This window comes from Homo sapiens, chromosome 3 (assembly GCF_000001405.40).
Source record: "Homo sapiens chromosome 3, GRCh38.p14 Primary Assembly".
Lineage (NCBI taxonomy): Eukaryota > Metazoa > Chordata > Mammalia > Primates > Hominidae > Homo > Homo sapiens.
Window position 1 is genome coordinate 193,867,947 of NC_000003.12, and position 16,372 is coordinate 193,884,318.

The 16,372-nt window shown below is 49.6% G+C and overlaps 1 long non-coding RNA gene across 1 annotated transcript, besides 3 other annotated features; it reads left to right on the forward strand.

Annotated features, from left to right (window-relative positions):
* Positions 1,524 to 2,253: an enhancer, noted in NCBI's record as "H3K27ac-H3K4me1 hESC enhancer chr3:193587259-193587988 (GRCh37/hg19 assembly coordinates)". NCBI's record gives its function as "activates a minimal SCP1, AML or CMV promoter by ChIP-STARR-seq in naive H9 embryonic stem cells {active_cell/tissue: H9 hESC(naive)}" and the evidence as "EXISTENCE:reporter gene assay evidence [ECO:0000049][PMID:30033119]".
* Positions 1,694 to 1,988: a silencer, noted in NCBI's record as "tiled region #3366; K562 Repressive non-DNase unmatched - State 8:EnhW". NCBI's record gives its function as "represses a minimal TATA promoter and a strong SV40 promoter by Sharpr-MPRA in K562 cells {active_cell/tissue: K562}" and the evidence as "EXISTENCE:reporter gene assay evidence [ECO:0000049][PMID:27701403]".
* Positions 6,837 to 13,794, forward strand: LOC105374286 (uncharacterized). Its single transcript, XR_001741076.2, has 5 exons — positions 6,837 to 6,924; positions 8,973 to 9,144; positions 11,163 to 11,306; positions 12,945 to 13,089; positions 13,582 to 13,794. It is a non-coding gene; the product is annotated as an uncharacterized LOC105374286 (long non-coding RNA).
* Positions 14,887 to 16,086: an enhancer, noted in NCBI's record as "CDK7 strongly-dependent group 2 enhancer chr3:193600622-193601821 (GRCh37/hg19 assembly coordinates)". NCBI's record gives its function as "activates an origin of replication core promoter dependent on BRD2, BRD4, P300/CBP, MED14 and CDK7 cofactors, with strong dependence on CDK7, by STARR-seq in HCT116 cells {active_cell/tissue: HCT116}" and the evidence as "EXISTENCE:reporter gene assay evidence [ECO:0000049][PMID:35650434]".

Below are 16,372 nucleotides of genomic sequence, written 5' to 3' on the forward strand. Positions count from 1 at the left end.
GACTCGGCCCTAAGCACCGCGTAGTGATGTGCTTCCCCTGCCACCCCCCACCTCACCGCACTCTCCTCGCTATGTTCTCTCCATCTCCAGGAGACACTTCCCCTTCAAGGCCCCATTTAAAATTCTCCTTTTCTGTGAAGACTTTGCTGATCTCACAGCCAGACAAGCCTCTCCTTCCACTGGACTCAACATCCTTTTGCCCGTATCAAGAAGGTAGCAATTGTCATGCTCCACATGGGTCTCCCTGACAAGCCCGGGCACTGCCTGGTGGCAAGAACCGCACCTCATTCATCTTTATGGTGCCCAACACCCGCTAGACTCTCAGGATTGTTGGATAAAGGAAGACTTCTTTGCCAGACATTGAGCAAGACTCAGTTTTTGTAAGGTGTATATGCTCATCTCTAAAATAGGGGCAGACAGGCCTACTCAAATCCAGTGAGTCCAGCAATGGGGGGAATGCCTTGCAAATCCTAGAGAACTGCAAGGATGTGTGAGGATTCTTCTCCATGCCATCACATACTTCTCAGGGCCAGCCTGGTGACCTGGCCCAAGAGAAGCAGGTATAAGATCATTCCGGCCATGCATGTTTTCATTTCCATGAGATGAAGAACTGTGTGTCAGTTTTGACTCTTACATACTGATGCCAGATGCACTCTTGCGTGTGTGGATCTCTCCCCAGTCCAGGGCAGTAACCTCACAATGGTACCTACAGATGCACAGGAGTTGCCTAAACATTGCAAAAGGAAGGACAGAATTAGAGCAGTTAGTTTTCTTAGGCTTCCTGTAGAGCTTGTCTCAATACCCACCCAGAGGGCACTGGAGGGTGAAGAAATTTCCTTTCTCAAGCCCTTCATTCACTCACTCATTCCCTCTCAGCTTCAGCGCACTCCCTGGTGGAAACAAACAGGTAACGGGGTGGTAAGCCCTATGACAGACCTTTGCAAATGTCCTCAGAGGCGTGCAGAGGAGGAACACTTACGCCAGACTCCGGGGAGAAGCTGCCTGCGGGAGCTCTCACCTGAGGAGGACACAGGAAGGGTTTTCCTTGCAGCAGGAACAGCTTACGCAAAACCTGGATGTGAGCAAGAACATGATGTGCTCCCAGAAGAATAAACTGTTCAGAGCGGCTGGCGTGTAAAGGGTAAAGGCTGAGTGAGCAGAAATGCCACCAGAGCAGGGGGTGAGAGCCAGACCAGGGGCCCTTAGGAGCCAGGCCGAGGGTCCTCTCTGAAGGATGCCTGAAATGCCTCCGCTGCAGCTTGCTAGAGGCCTTCTAATTAACCTGCGAAGAACCGTCTGCAGGCCCCCAGTCCGGTGTTCACTCGTTCATTCATTCGCTCTTCACTGGGTGCCCTGGCACTCCAAGCCTCCAGCGCACACCCAGCCCTAACCTTGACCAGGGTGCTGAGCACGAGGAGCCCCACCCTGAGCCAGGCCTGGAGAGGCGCCTTTAAGCGCAGGTCCTGCGGCTGCTGACAGGTCATCAGAGCTGGGACCAAAGACCCGCCGGGAGGCTGGCAGCCTAGGTCGCTTCCCAAGCTCTCCGGGCCCTTCCCTTCGGCGGCTAATTTCCACTTTTCATAAGGATGTGTTCATTCAGGGGACTAGGAGCAGAGGCGCGCCCGATGGGGGACACGTGCCCCCTCGACGGCACGCGCTTTGATGCTCGCGGGGGCCAGAGGCGAGGCGGCCAGCATCTCGCGTTCCTGCGCCGGACGCTGTCTTTGGGAAGCTCCAGGCGTAGGTTCGCATTGCGTGCGGGAAGCCCCCTGCCCACATGAAAGGCTCGCTGTCGGGCTGTGGGTCCCGGCTCCCGCCCCCAGCCCTGCAGACACACTCCGCTCCCAGCGAGGAGCCCCGGAGCCGCACAAAGGAAATGGCAAGAGACTGAGTCACCACCATCCAGAGAGGCTCGCCCGCGGCCCGGGCCGCGGCCACAACAGGACCTTTGTGCTGCGCTCCAGGAAGACGAGGAGGGCCGGCTGGAGGGAGGCAGACAGTTCAGGGCGCTGAGTAATGCCGGGGTGAGGGGAGGAATCTCCCCCGGAAGAGAGACCGGCCCCTCGGCCCCCGCCACTCCTCAAAGCCACGGTGCAGCGCGGGGACTCGCAGGCTGCTTAGAGACGGCCTCCCTGCCTCCACCGTGTCGCAGCGCTGGCCCCCTGAGGGGTGCCTCCTCCTTTGCGGGCATCTGTTTCCTCTCCGTGGTGTGAGGGGCTGGAGGCCTGGGACGTGTCTGTTTCAACTCTTTTCCTGCCATAGTCCCTGACAGCATGCAGCAGGTGCTAAATGTTTGTGCATGGATGTTGGCGGGATGGATGGACAGATGGAAGGATTCATCCCACAAACGCTGCATGTGAAGAGCTGACCAGTGCTCTCGTTTCACAGATGGGGAAATGGAGGCCGAGACGTGGGAATGCTTTATGCCAGGTCCCGCATGAACAGTGGTAGATCTAGAACTCAGGTGCTACGCTGTCGGCCTGCTGTTGGTCTGCGGAGCTACTATATAGCTGTTGCGTGACTCAGGGAACACCTGGGGCGTGACTGACAGGTGGAGAAGGGTCAAGGTGGTTGGAGCCCAAGCGTGGATAAGACAGCCCCGGAGGGAGAGGCCAGCCTGGGACAGGGCTTACTGGAGAGTGAGGGAGAGAGGCCAGCGCAACAGCAGCCTGGGCCCCGGGCCTCAGGATGATGACAATCTCTTGGTCAAGATAGGTCATACAGATTACAGAAACTGGGAAAGAACCAGCATTTGTTGAGCACTGAGTGAGTGTATGCAAGGCACAGATATTTAATACTTTACCCAACCCTGAGGGAGGTGTTGTTCCAGATAGAGAAGGTGATTGGGAGACAGGTGCCTTCTGGAATAATCTGTTGCTGGCTCTGGCAGGGCCTTAGAGTGGTGGTAACTCTGTGGGGCCGCCTTGTGACAAACACGGGTTCTCAGCCTGCAGCCCAGAAACTCCCTGTTGTTGATGTACTCAGAGGACGTCAGCATCTCAGGGCTACTCAAGTCAACTCACACTCAGAAAGTCTGAGGTCAGCTACCGGGATACTGGGGTGAAGGATGATCTGTGCTCTTCCACATGTGAGAAGCTGAAGCCCATGAGCCAGCCAGGTTGCCTGGGGCCACGGCAGCAGAGCCAGAGCTTTAGAGCCGCACCTGGGAGCTCTGACCATCTGTGAACCTCACCGGCGGGAGTCAGGGGGACAGGCTGCCACACACTACACAGCTGAGCTCCTGAGGATGGGCACACCCAGGACAGTGTGCACAGACGGCCCCTCCTCTCCTAACGCCTATGCTGACCATAGTCACCATGCACCTTTGTTAGAACAATCTTTCAGCTCAAACCAAAGCAACACACTAGCTGTTCAGACAAGCCAATACAGCCACTCTCTGACACTACACCCAGGACGTTCTGATGAGAGGCAAATGGCTCAGAAGTCCTCAGCCTCCTCTTGACCAGAGCATGGTTTAGGGCAAATGCTGTCTATATGTGACAGGGACCATTCCCTACCTCTGGTGTTTTCTAATTCCTTAACAGAAGCTAATCTTAATTTTAAGAATGCCATCCCAGAAATCTTTAATAGATGAGCTATTAAATCTCATCTTTAACTTTGGAGAATTTAGAAAGATTCTGGGATGAAGTTTAATAGTTCATCTCAAAGGTCACATGGCTAAAAAGTGGTGGCCTAGGACTCCAGCCCATTACATCCCACTACGCCTCCCCTTAAGACTATTCACAACAGGCGGGGTGCAGTGGCTCACTCCTGTAATCCCAGCACTTTGGGAGGCCGAGGCGGGTGGATCACCTGAGGTCAGGAGTTTGAGACCAGCCTGGCCAACATGGTGAAACCCCATCTCTACTAAAAATACAAAATTAGCCGGGCGTGGTGTGCATGCCTGTAATCCTAGCTACTCGGGAGGCTGAGGCAGGAGAATCACTTGAACCCAGGAGGCGGAGGTTGCAGTGAGCCGAGATTGCGACATTGCACTCCAGCCTGGGCGACAAGAGTGAAACTCCACTCAAAAAAAAAAAAAAAGTATATATATATATACCAGTCACAACAACAGCAATGATAAAGGCTAATGATTGCTGAGGGTTTGCTATGTGCAAGCGCGTTTTTTCACGTAATCCTCACAGTAGCACCATGAGACTGTTCTCAGCCTCATTTTAAAGATGAGAGTTGAAGCACAGAGCGGTAAAGAAACTTGCCCAAGCTAAGGTCACACAGCTACGAAGTGCAAAGGCTGGATTTCAAACCAGTCTGTCTGCCTCTACCCAAGCTCTTAGCCACCCCACTCTACAGCAAAGCAAAGCAAGATGTCTGCAATAACTAACCCCCATAGCACCCTTGAGTCCTGCTGTCCTGGAGAAAAGCTATCTGCAGCTCTGAGTGGGAGAGTAGGGAGCCACCCCATCATGGGGTTACCAAAGTCCAGAGTCCTGCCCCTGGCATTGTCAGTTTAGAGATTAGGTTTCTATCAGCCTCCCAGAGAGGAACAGGTTCAGGCAGTCTGACTTATGGTGACTCAGCCCACAAGGGAATGCGCCAAACCCAGTGAATTGATTCACCTGTGAGATACACTGGCCAGAAAAAAGATTGTGGTTTAGCGCCCTGGCTTCAGGGTCAAACACAGCTGGGTTTGAAACTCCATCCACCACTTCCTAGCCCCATGACTTTACACATGTTACTCACTCTTTGGACATGAAACTCAATCTCAGTTTCAGCCTCTGGAAATGGGGAAAAATGCCAATCTTGTGCAGTGGCTGTGGCTTAAACCAGATGTGTGTAAAATAGTACAATAGGAGCTCAATAAATGTCAGTACTTAAAATTTTCATTATTTGTATTGTTCCAAAAACCAGGCTTATTGGGAGGCCTACATGGGCAGATCATGAGGTCAGGAGATCGAGACCATCCTGGCCAACATGGTGAAACCCCGTCTCTACTAAAAATACAAAAATTAGCTGGGCATGGTGGTGTACGCCTGTAGTCCCAGCTACGTGGGAGGCTAAGGCAGGAGAATTGCTTGAACCCAGGAGGCAGAGGTTACAGTGAGCCGAGATCACACCACTGTACTCTAGCTTGGGCAACAGAGCAAGACTCCATCTCAAAACAAACAAACAAAAAACAAGCTTGGCCACCTGATAAGATCCTCCCTGCACAGTGGGTAGGTCCCACCATAAACAAAACAAAACAAAACAAATTCCAGCTCAAAAGGCTGCTAAGAAAGCCCAGATTGGAGGAAGGGGACTTATCCCTCAGCTTCTGATAGCTGAGTGAGCTGTCCACCACCCTTCCCTCACCTCCAACCCCAGGGTATTCCTATTTGAACCTAGGGTGCTGTTTTGGACCAGGAACCCTGGCTTCTCCTGGACGGAGCTGCTCATAATAACAGTCTCCTTTACCAGTACCTCCTTCTCACTGGAAGTCCTGACCTGCCACCTCAGCTTTGCAGCGCCTGGTGGGTAAACTCTTGTCCCCTCTCCGTGGCTCTGGTCAAAGGTACCTTCATTTGTGAGGTCTTCTCAGAACCCTCAGGCACAGTTAAATTGATCACACACTGACCACATGGAGTACACTCCCAGCACTGAGACACGACAGTGAAAAACACAGAGGCGGTTCCTCTCTGTCTCGAGCCTGAAGCCTAGTGGGACAAGGAACAAGCAAAGAAAGAAACAAAATTTTTAGAGCTTCTGGTAATTGCAAAGAAGGAACTAGCCAGTGTGATGTGATAGAGAATAACTCTGGGGCAGGGCAGTGCAGTGGTCAGGCAAGGGGAGGTGGCATTTATTCTGAGACCTAAAGAGCAAGCAGCAGCCAGTCTTGCCCTAAGCTGGGAACACAGATTTCTGGAATAAGGAATAGCTTTTCCCTGCTGGGGAAAGAAAGAACTTGGCATGTTCCTCATGATCAGAAGACCAGGCCGGAGCAGAGGGAGTGGGCAGGATAGGGGAGGAAGAGGCATGGCAGTCAGAGGGAGGCACAGGCCTTGATCCTCTGTGAACCCAGCTGCTTGTGTGGTAGTGAGAATATGACTCGTTACCATTTACTGAACACCTACTATGTGCCAGGCACTTTCTATAAACTCTGTCATGTAATCCTCATTCTCCCAGCCACCCCTACCCATACACAGTGTCTCTCTTCATGCTCTTGTCTTGCCTATTGTCGCTCTCTGCAGGTTTGTTTCCCTGCCCACCCCACCCCATTAGACTGTAAGCTCCTCTGTAAGACATTCAGTCCCCCCGCATGTAGCACCAAAACACAGGGCTGTCATGCCTGCGGAGTTTTAGTCCTCACTTGGTCTTGAGCAATTACAATTTGGGGGATCAGTGACAGAAATTGATGCTTTCAGATAAAGTTCCTAGAAACATACTAGGCACCTGGATGTGATGGTTTAAGAAATAACTCAGTTGCACTGGTAGCACACTCAGAAGTATTATTTAGGCCAGCTCGTTCTTTGGAACTATGCACAGGGGCTAATCTCACCCCTTTGTGTGTTAGTGTCTACTGCAGGGGGTGACAGGCCCAAACTTGCCCCCAGATAGAAAGATGTGCTCTAGACAGGCCATAGGGACCATGCTGCAGGAAGCAGGAATGAGCCCATTCCATTCAATACACTGTCACTGGACACCTACTATGTGCGTGACTGTGTGGCAGATGTTCTACTGGACATAAAAACGAATTCAGTGTCCCATGCTCTTTAGTTGGAATATTGCAGGGTTGAGCAGGTGCAATGTTGTAATAGAGGTAGCAGGCCTGAGCGTGTGCAATGTTGTAATAGAGGTAGCAGGGCTGAGCGTGTGCAATGTTGTAATAGAGGTACAAGCAACACAGGGATAGGGAGAAGGTGATCCACATTGCAGGGGCCTAATTACAGGGGGCCCTGAATGCCAAGCCAAGACTTGGAAAATTAGAAGGTAAGTAATGGAAGAAGCGAGAATCACAAACGTGGCTTTCGTTTTTGTTTTTTTAAGTACTCTTTTCTTAAAGAAGGAAATTGTAAATGTTCTGTTTTGAAAGGACTATTCAGGGATAAAGTACAGAAAACAACTGACAAGGGGTTCAGAATAATAAGAAAGGAGCATGGCCAGGGGAAAGCATTTGGGGCCAGGAGTGGGAGACGATGTGGTGATAGGGGCTTGGGGTGGCTCACCCCATCTGTAGTGTGAACAAACCTGAGGCTAAGAAAGGGAGGGGTCACAGAAACCTACTGAGGTGCTGAGGTATAGGTGGGAGGCGGGGCAGGGCTGGGACTCTTACTGTGGACGTGTCAATCAAAGCTGACCAGCCCAAGACTCTAGAAGCCAGAAACAATGGAGCTACCACTATGAAAGGAAAAATACTAGCCTTAAGTTGGAATTGGGTTCCAGTCCAATTCCTTGCCATTGATTTACTATGTAACTTGGATCAAGTCACTTCACTCTGTGAACCTATTTCCTCCACTGAACAATGGTGATTGCAGCCTCCAGATCTCATGTTGTGATAGATAACAAAGGCATGTGAAGGCCCCTTTCATTGAATCTGAGAATCCGAGGCCTTTCTCCAGGTGTTCAGTTGGAATCAGTCTCTACTTCCTTCTCACATGTACCCATCCCTGTGTCCCTGCATGAGCTTAGGCAAAGGACAGGCTTTCAACTCCGTGATTCCTAAAAGTCCCCCTTGCTCTAAACTTGTAGGTTTCTATGACAAAGTTGGATTTTGTTGGATCAAGTTAACTCAGGTCTACAGAGCACCCAAATGAATCCGTTTCATAAGGAAAATCATAGATCTATAAATAATAGGGCAGTGTTGCATATTTACACATACCATATTGGGTCTGGGTAGATGGTGCAATCTATTTTGGTCCGATTTTCAAGTTACAATGTTACTTATTGCTTAATGGCAGACAGTAATGTAAAGGGAATTATGTTACTATAGCCATTAAAAGTGGGCTATTTATAGCTTCCCTTCTGCAGGTCTTCTCACCATTCTCAACTTGAAATTTCCTTCACTGAATTTATCACAGCCAACTGAGATGGTTTATTTTGAAAGTGGAACACAGAGAAAAGAGAGAGCACCACCCAGAAAAAGGGGCAGGATCAAAGAGGCCACCAGACAATTTTCCAGGCTTGTTTGAAAGCCAACAGCAGCCCCTTGAAGGAACTCTCGCCTCAGGATGACAAAATAAATAGTGACCTTGCATCAGGGCTCGCTGGGTTGGCCTGGCACTTTCTGTGCAGGGAACCTTGGTTTCCAAATGAGTGAACTATGTTTGCCTTCCACCGCAGGGACTGGAATGAGTTAGATTCAGAGGTTCTCCTGCTTTTTAAATCATCAAATCAGAGTTCAGGGATCTAAAATTGATACAAGATGATCTCAATGTCAAGGGTACAGTTAATTTTTACAACAAATGCTTCTACCTGGAGAATCTATAACATGCTTCTGTTGGACTGGAAGGCAATTTTAGAATAGAATGCCTAGGTTTATAAAGGTGCCTTAGTCCATTCAGGCTGCTTTAACAAAATACTACAAGCGAGGTGGCTTATGAACAACAGGAATTTATTTCTCACAGTGCTGGAGGCTGGGAAGTTCAAGATCAAGGAGCCAGCAAACTTGGTGTCTGGTGAGGACCCACTCTCTGGTACAGAGGTGGTACCTTCTAGCTGTGTCTTCACATGGTGGAAGAGACCAGGCAGCTCTCTGGTGTCTCCTTAATAAGGGCATTGATCCTATCCCAAAGGTGGTGATCTAATCACCTCCCAAGGGCCCCACCTCCTAATATCATATTGCTGATTGAATTTCAATACAGAATTTGAGGTGGGGGGGCACAAAGCAAAATGCCATCCTCACATTAATAGAGAGGAAGAAAGGCAGGCCTAAGGACCTAGAGGGGAAAGGTTACATCTCAGGAAGAGAAAGCGAGAGAGAGGAACTCCCAGGGAAAATTGTTGGATCTCTTTGAATGAAGTGTGGTCTTAATCCACAGGTCTACAAGGACTCCAGAACTCTCCAGGAGTGATGAAAGATGGTGTCTTAGCCTGGGTTTCTGCAACAAGCAGAGCCTAGCACAACATGGTGGTTTACTTTGAAAAGTGATCCCAAGAAACAGGAGTGAGAGGCTCGGAAGAGTCAAACGGAAAGAGGACAAGCCAACCAAGGTAAATTATTGAGCTGGTCAGGCCAGTGAGAAACTGGAGCTCGATACCGCTGGGGACCCCTAGCAAGCTGTGAGGGATGACCCCATGGATCACAGGTCATCCCGGGGGTTGTTAACCCTCTCCCACAGCCAGGTTTCCAAACATATCACAATGACAAAATGAGTGTCCTCAGCATCTCACATCATGGTGGCAGAGGAGCCCCTGAGCAGAAAGTGGGAGGAGTGAGAAGCTGGGATCTGTTGCAGCTGATGCCAGGACATGGCTGGGGAGAAGGTGGGCAGGAGGATGAAAGGCAGGCTGCAAGGTACCCCATTAGTAAGTGAGAGACATTAGCACTCAGCCTCACGCAAGGGTAAACTCACCCAGTCCAGCCTGGACTCCCAGCTCAGAGACGAAGAGCTAGTCTAATCTTATTACTTAATATTGTTAGAAGATTCTGGAAAGACAGTTTTCTTAGAAAGGAGGAGAGCATGGGCAGAAAGAAAGAAAAAAAAGAAAAGATGGAAAAAGGAAGGAAGGAAGGAAAATTGCTAGAACCTCGGGCAGATGCTTTTTTCTAGCTAGCTTTTTTCTTCTTTAAAAAAAAAAAAACACGGAGTTTTCTTTTTGTAGTATTGAAAAATGAATTTATGGCCGGGAATGGTGGCTCACACCTGTAATCCCAGCACTTTGGGAGGCCGAGGCAGGCGGATCACAAAGTCAGGAGATCAAGACCAACTTGGCTAACATGGTGAAACCCTGTCTCTACTAAAAATATAAAAAATTAGCTGGGCGTGGTGGCAGGCGCCTGTAGTCCCAACTACTCTGAAGGCTGAGGCAGGAGAATGGCGTGAACCCAGGAGGCGGAGCTTGCAGTGAGCCGAGATGGCACCACTGCACTCCAGCCTGGGCGACAGAGCGAGACTCCGTCTCAAAAAAAAAAAAAAAAAGGGTGAATTTATGCCTGTAATAAATTATTTAAACACTTAAGACAGAATATAGAATGAATAAATTTCTCTCCTATCCCAGATCCCAGTCTCTCTCCCCAGAGGTAATTACTGCTACGAGTTTCTTGTGTATTCTTCCAGAAATATTTTTATGCATATTAACACATGTGCATATTTCCTTTTAAAATTACAACAAAAATAAACAAATTGTAGACCTTTTTCATTTCCTGCCCCCTCCCCCTGCTTTGAGGATTGCTTCATATAACCTTATGTAAATCTACCTCATTGAAAAAATTCCTTTATAATACTCTGTTAGAAGGACTTGCCTAATTTATTTAACGAGTTTCCTTTTGATGGATAGGTAGGGTATTTTTTTCCCTTTTATTTTCATTGCTAACAATGATGTGTTGAATATTCTTGTTTGCTCTTTTCTGTACAAATCTCTAAGAGTATTTGTAGAATACATTTCTAGGAGTGAAACTGTGAAAAAAAACTATGTACAGGTAAGCTTTTAGGAAAGATTGCCAAGTTACTCTTCAAGGGTTCTCGCAGATTTATGCTTCTACCCCAGGGAGGAGAGCGCCTGCTGGTGTCCTCCGCTTCTTCACATTGTGTGACCTTTATGAATCTAGTAGGTAAAAAATGAACCTTAGGCCGGGCATGGTGACTCACACCTGTAATCCCAGCACTCTGGGAGGTCAAGGAGGGAGGATTGCTTGAGGCTGGGAATTTGAGACCAGCCTGGGCAACACAGTAAAACCCATCTCTACAAAAAAAAAAAAAAAATTAGTCGGGTTTGGTGGCATGTGCCTATAGTCCTAGCCACTCAGGAGGCTGAGGCAGGAGGATACCTTGAGCCCAGAAGCTTGAGGCTGCCGTGAGCCATGATCATGCCACTGCACCCCAGCCTGGCAACGGAGCAAAACTCTGTCTCAACGAAAAAAGTGAACGTTATTATTTTAATGTATGTCTACTTAATTATGAGTGATTGTCAACATTTTATCATGTATTTATAAACCAGCTATTTTTCACTTTCTGAGACTGCCTGTCTCAGAGCCAAGATAACAGATAAACACAACGTTCTGTGTATAGGCTGTGCCTGGGTGCATCACGATTCACCTAAAAATCACCACTGAAATCCGCAGCAGGCAATTGTGCCAGACAACAGGTGATGACGGGGGCAAACACGACTCAGCTTCTGCCTGCAGCATCTACAGTCATGGAAGGAGACCTCCGGTAACCCAGTGATTGAAATAACGCATTTAAGTGCCACAAGGGGAACTAAGAGTGCCACCCAGCAGGGGCGAGTCACCTGACCCGGGGTGTCCAGGAGACAGCATGGAGGAAGCCATCTGCCCACTGAGACTAGGAGGGGGATCTCAAAGTTACAAAGCAAAGGGGCTGGGGCAGAGACCATTCACAGTAGCAGGAGGAAGACTGCTGAGGGGACAGACAGAGGGTGAGTGTGGGGTAGGGGTGAGGCAGAGGAATGAGGAGAAGAGGGGAGTGGTGAGCCATCCAGTTTGCCAAGGACTAAGGAGAATTCAGGACTTCAGTGCTAAAATCAGGGAAGTCCCTTGCTAACCTGGAAAAGCGAGTCCCACATAGAGCTGCTTATCAACCCTGCTGAGGATTTCAGACTTTATCTTAAAGGGCATAGTGACCTATCAGAGTTTTCAGTAGGGAAGTGATGCATACAGAGTTACATTTTCCAAAGGTCAGCGTGGTAGAGTCTGACATGGACGGGGCAAGGGGGCAGCGTGGCAAGGCTGGAGGTGGAGAGACCAGCTGGGTGGCAGTTTGCAGTAATACCAGCGAGAGAGGATGGTGCCTGGAACAGTGATATTGGCAATGGAGACAAAGATCAGCTGGATTTAGGGGCTGACTGCTGTGAGTGCTGCTGTTCTCTGAGGGGAGTGGGAGGACCCTTTCAGGGGAGGAGTGGTGTCAGAGGAGGGAGTTGATAAGTTGAGAACCCACCCTGTGGACAGGGAGGACCTGAGAGATAGCCAAGTCATTATGTGCAAGAGGCCGTTTGATATCTGGATCTGCAGTTCAGAAGAGAAGATCTGGTGGAGATAAAATCTGGGGCAATGTCACCTTTAAAATGCTAACTGAGGCCCCATTGATGCAGATAAGAACACCCAAAAGTGTCCAGGAAAGTCTGATTCAGGGCTGCAAAGATAATGTCATTAATTAAAAATAAAAACTGCATTTACAAAAGTTCAAAATAGTTTGGTTTAGAATAACAACTTAAAAATTATTTAGTAGGTGGTCTTTTATGAACGTGTATTTTAACAGACACGTAACTGCTGTAGTGTGTGTGGGGGAAGGGGTCAAAGATTGATCAGAGGGTCTCCGAGGCACCTTCAGACCACACGCTCTGGGCAGGAAGTTTGTCCTTTCTGTCTGCTCAGGCCCACAGTGTCAGGAGGGAAATTCTGAGGCCTGAGGCCTCAGAACACAGCTCACACACTGTCCTCAGCTGCCCAGGCCAGGAGGCTATTTGCCCAAGGTCACTCGACTGGTCCAACAGGAGAACTCGGATTGTAGAACCATAGTCACTTGAGGTCAGAAGTTCAAGACCAGCCTGGCCAACATCTCCACTAAAATACAACATGTCTCTACTAAAAATACAAAAAAAGTAGCCAGACATGGTGGCAGGCGCCTGTAATCCCAGCAACTCGGGAGGCTGAGGCAAGAGAATTGCTTGAACCCAGGAGGCGTAGGTTGCAGTGAGCTGAGATTGCGCCACTGCACTCCAGCCTGGGCAACAGAGCAAGACTCTGTCTCAAAAAACAACAAACAAACACATGAAAGAACTGGGAGGGATCCTGGTGCTCTGTGAACAAGACTAATAGCCTCATTTTTCAGTGAAAGTGTGGTGTTTGCTGTGAGAGGGAGCAGACGCTCACTGCCATAGATCTCAGAGACCACCAAGGCTGAATAAGCTGAACAACGCATGCGGAAAGTCCACAGGCCTGCACACCAATGGCCACAGCCTGTTCTCTCCCTGCAGGTGAGTTTCTCCGCATCCACTGTAGCCACACATCACTCAGCAGCTCCATACACTTCTCACCTCACAAAGGACGCACCTGAGGCTGGGCAGCATGGTACCCGCTAAGGGAAGGCTAGGCTGATTTTACTCCACCCAAAGGGAAAGAGGGCTCTGCCATTCTTTGATATGAGGAACGCTTGCACAGCAAAGAATGGCAGAGCCTTCTTTCCTGTTAGGTGGAGTAAAATCAGCTCCTTTAGCTTTTCTGAGTAGTTTCATACACAGTATCCCACTGATGGAGATGAAGATCATATCCAAAGTTCCATAGCTAATATATGGTCAAGATGAGAGTTGAATCCAGATTTTTCTCATTTATTTCATCATCCATTTAACAATTACCATTACCTGGGCAGCTACTAAATGCCTTGTGCTCTGTGAGGCTCAGGACACAAAGCAGAGTGGGATTCTCAGCCACCCTGCCGGTCACTGAAACACCTTCCTCTCTCTGCTCAGGTAGGACACTCATGCGGTACCACCCTTCCTGAGGACACCTTCCTTCCATTGCCTGGACAGCAGCATCCTGCCCTGGGCCACCCTCCATGTGGATGCCCTTCCCACTTCCCCAGGGCACTGACTCCAAGCGCAAGGTGCCCTTGCAATAGACACTCTCCTCACCCCTCTAGTTCTGCCATCCTGCCCTGGGCCACCTTCTGTGTAGACCCCTCCTCACCCCACTGAGGGTCTGAGTCTCCGTGCCAGGACATCCTCCCTGGACAGGACCCCCTTCGGACCCTGCTTTGGTCTCCGACACATGCTGGGCTGCCCCCTCCTATGTTGGCACCCTCCTCGCTCCACATGGGCAACCTCACACTGGACCACCGCCCTTGTGTGAGCCTCTATCTCACCCCGGTGGACTCCACCCTCCTGCTCTGGGCACGCTACTTCCTCCCCACTCAGCTACAGAGGCCTGCCTTGCTCTACCTTACCTAATGGCTTCTGAACAGAATTTTCTAGAAGGGAGAGGAAGAAGCATCGAGCTGGTTCTCTTGGCCTGTTCCTGGATCCCATCCTTCTCCTTTGTTCCCGGCTCCTCCATTCTCTAGGAATCTCAATCTCTTCCGGCATTGCTGAGTTCTCAAGGTAGGTGAGGTTTTTGCTGGCTTCCTGCAGGGCTTCCTCTGTCTCCTACCCCATTCCTGCACCATCTCTGATGGCCTGGAGCTCTCCAAGGGCCAAAGCCATGTGGGTTCTGCGGGAAACTCTGGAAGAATGCCTCTGCTCAACATCTTACTTCGTCACAGTTGGCCAGAGAATTCCCCAATCAGTGTGCTGCCTGGGCTCCATGTTTCACGGAGTTTGGAGTCAAACAGCTTTTACAGGATGCCTGTAGCAGCTCTGCTCTCACCCTCCTCCTTCCCTCCACAATCTGGATTGGGAGACAAACCTGACTGGCAGACAGCGCCATGCATGTGGGATTTCCTCCCATATCCCAGCTTAGGCCTTGCACTGACCAATTCAAGCTTATAGTGCCCTCATTCCTGTCCTCTTAAAATAATTAATCTCCCTGGCTCTCATACAAACAAACTTCTGGTTGCCCACCACCACCCATTCTAGACCTTTTAAAAGCCCAATTGTGGGCACAGCTTGGGCTTACGAGGGACGTCCTTCAACTATCTGGCTGAGCATGCTTCTCTTACACTGTTCTCCCTCCCCTCAGTGTGCCCTGTGTGCCAAAGCAGCGTCCATGTTTTGTTACCCACCCGTTGACTAAGACCTCTGTGATACCGAGGCCTGAGGAGCTGCGAGCCCCCATGGCAGAGGCAGGCAAAGGCCCATCTGCTAAAACTCAGGTCCACGTGCAACCTCAAAAGCACCCTGGAACACCTTTTCCTTCCATCTCTCTTAGGTTTTAGCCAGCCAGGAGGAAATTAGAATTTTTTTTCCCATTTTATGATGAGTTATGGAAGAATTAGGTAAAGGAACATTTAAGCTCCCTACTGCTGGGAAACTTGTCTATGGTGAGAGATTTATCAGACCTGGGTGTGTCACCAGGGGAGGCTAGGAAACCTCATTACTGAATATAGAGCCCCAGACCAGGTCTTGGAGACTCTATCATTGATCCAGATAACCCAACTCTGCTTTTTCACTTGCCATCCTTTTAAATTCCCAAATCCTAACTCAAATGCATAGGCTGTCTTTCAAAGAGCAATGACAAGAGAAAGGCATGCACGCTGCGTATGAGAGGGGAGGGGAGGTTCCTGCGGCAGAAGAAGCAAGGTGAGGCACAAGTAACACTGACCGAAATAGAAAGAGCATGACTCAGCTGGGCGTGGTGGCTCGCACCTGGAATCCCAGCACCATGGGAGGCCAAGGCGGGCAGATCACCTGAGGTCAGGAGTTCAAGACCAGCCTGGCCAATATGGCAAAACCCCATCTCTACTAAAAATACAAAAATTAGCTAGGCGTGGTGGCGGGCACCTGTAATCCCAGCTACTCGGGAGGCTGAGGGGGAGGATTGCTTGAAACCAGGAGGCAGAGGTTTCAGTGAGCTGAGATTGTGCCACTGCACTCCAGCCCAGGCAACAGAGCAACACTCCATCTCCAAAAAAGAAAAAAAAGAACAAAAGAAAAAGTATGACTCGACAGCCTTGGCATTGGGCAGGCATTCAGCCCCATGTTAAGGACCCTTGGACCTTTTGGAGTCCAGAGAGTGACTCACCCCTGACCAGGGGCAATCCTACTCTCAGCTCCAACAGTGTTCTTCTGACTCACGGGTACCCCAACCACACTTGGCACTAAAGTTCTGGCTCATGAGAACAGGAAAAAGGAGAAGCAGAGGCATCATATGCTCCCAGGCATCATTCTGTGGGGTATGCCAGTCTTTGCAAATTCTTGGACAGAACAGCATGCAGGGAGAGGGGCACAAACACGTTACATCGGGTTTCCTGTGTACCATCTTGCTCTTGCGGCATCATTGTCCAAGTCCCTCCAGTAGTGCTAGCCGACTGAACTTTCTGCAATGATAGACATGTCCTAGAGTTGAACTGTCCAGCAGGGTGGCCGTGAGCCATCTGTGACCACTGAGCACCTGAAATGAAACTAGTGTGGTTTTCTTTAGTTCTAAGTAATTTATATTTACATACATACAGCCACATGTAGCCAATGACTACTGGATTGGGCAGCACAGCCCTTGATGATGCCCGGCTCTGTCGGGCACCATCATCTCATTCAGGCATTGTGAGTAATGGCCTAAATTCCTTGGGATGACAAAAGCGAGGTTTGTCTGGGAGTATGAAAAGACGCT